Source organism: Homo sapiens, chromosome 8, assembly GCF_000001405.40.
Source record: "Homo sapiens chromosome 8, GRCh38.p14 Primary Assembly".
In the NCBI taxonomy this organism is placed as follows: Eukaryota; Metazoa; Chordata; class Mammalia; order Primates; family Hominidae; genus Homo; species Homo sapiens.
In genome coordinates, this window is record NC_000008.11 from 92,426,338 (window position 1) to 92,428,329 (window position 1,992).

At 40.7% G+C, this 1,992-nt stretch overlaps 1 annotated feature.

Moving 5' to 3' along the window:
• Positions 359 to 428: an enhancer, noted in NCBI's record as "active region_27615". NCBI's record gives its function as "activates an Ori minimal core promoter by ATAC-STARR-seq in GM12878 lymphoblastoid cells {active_cell/tissue: GM12878}" and the evidence as "EXISTENCE:reporter gene assay evidence [ECO:0000049][PMID:35858748]".

The window sequence follows — 1,992 nt, forward strand, 5'->3', positions numbered from 1 at the left end:
CACACAATGTATGAAAAAAAATTTTTTAAATTCATTCCGAAATAAAGACCAAAGATAATGTGAATCACTGACAGCCACAAGAATGGAGATACCTGATGAATTTCCTGAGTAGTCCAGTAACTGGAAGTACTATTAGGTGAATTCATTTGAGAAATGAATAGAAGGATAGGAAAGAAACTCTAGTAAATGCTCTTTAATGCAAGATACAGTGTCAGCGTTACAGGTGACCAAAGCTTGAGAAATAGAGAGAGAAAAAAAGAGGAACTAACTGGCTTACTAAGAAAGGGAAAAGTGGAAAGTTAGCTAAAATAGGAGTTTAAACTCAGCACAGAGAGTTCTTGCGGTGGGAGTTGATCTTCCTCAATCTGAAGTATTTATACACTATATATTGTAGTCAGTTTAGCTAGAGGAGTATAGTTTACCCTGGTCAGTCATTTTAATAAAACAAAGAGCTGCAGAATATTCTGCTGTTTTGAGAAACTCAAAGCAGTCCCGTGATTTCCAATCTTACTAGGAAATTAAAGTGAACAGAGCTTAATACAACTAAGGTGTGTGTATGTTAAGCAGGACAGACCTAGTTTTGTTGTTAAGAAAAGCATTCTCAACAAATGGCAGCCTCAGCTATACTTTCATTGCTTCCTAGCCATCTTGTTGAATACCATGAGAAAATGTGAGGAATGGCTAATGAAAGACCAGAAGCGGAGGAGTCAGAAAACCTGAGAAGAGGCTGAGCACCTGTAATCCCAGCACTCTGGGAGGCCGAGGTGGGCAGATCAGTCAAGGTCAGGAGTTCGAGACCAGCCTGGCCAACATGGTGAAACTGTGTCTACTAAAAATACAAAAATTAGCCTGACGTGGTGGCAGGTGCCTATAGTCCCAGCTACTTGGGAGGCTGAGGCAGGAGAATCTCTTGAACCCAGAGGCAGAGGTTGCAGTGAGGTGATATCGTGCCATTGCACTCCAGCCTGGGTAACAGAGTGAGACTCCATCTCATAAAAGAAAAGTAAAGAAAAGAAAAGAAAACCTGAGAAGAGAATAGAATATGAAGTGTGATATAGTTAGGATATTTTACCTCTTCAAAGCTCGTGTTGAAATTTGATCCCCAGTGTTGGAAGTGACGCCTAGCAGCGGGTGTTTGGGTCACGGGTGTGGATCCCTCAAGAATAACTTAGTGCCATTCTTCTGGGATTGTGTGAATTCCTGCTCTTAGTTCCCAGGGAATATGGCTATTAGAGAGAGTCTGGCACTCTCTTCTCTCTCTTTTCCTTCTTTCTCACCACATGATCTTGCCTGTTCCCCTTCCCCTTCTGCCGGGAGTGGAAGCAGCTTGTAGCCCTCACCAGAAGCAGGTGTCAGTTACCTGCTTGTTGTACAACCTGCAGAACTGTGAGCCAAATAAATATTTCTTTTATAAATCACCCAGCCTCAGGTATTCCTTTATAGCAATGTGAAAAGACAAAGCCTACCCCTGGCTTTACTGGCTTACGCATTGCAAAAAAATCCCAAACTTTTCAAAGATCACTTTCTTATTTGCCAAACTGGGATTTATAACACTATATAGTGTTAAAAATATTTCATAACCAATATAGTATGGGTTCTAACCAAACAGAATGGACACAGCTGAAAACAACACAACCAGACCAGCCACCAATTATCAGCCCTGCCTTGCTCACAGAATTCTAAAAATAATTAGGTACTTTTATTTGTTCATTTATTCACCTGTGTTATGTTAGGCTCTTGATGCCATACTGTACACTGGGGACAATTTTGAAGATATAGTCCTGCGTTTTGAGCACCAGCTGAATATCTGGCTAGCTGCAGGTACCTAAAAAAAAACTAAATTTACCACTTTCTCTGAGAAATCAGTTCCTCTTGCTTTGCTTTTCAGAATGACACTGTGAACATCTCTCTGTTGCCCAATACTAAAATGGTGAGATCACCCTTACATCTTTCCTCTCAGATCCCATATCTAATTCTTAGCCAATTCCTTTA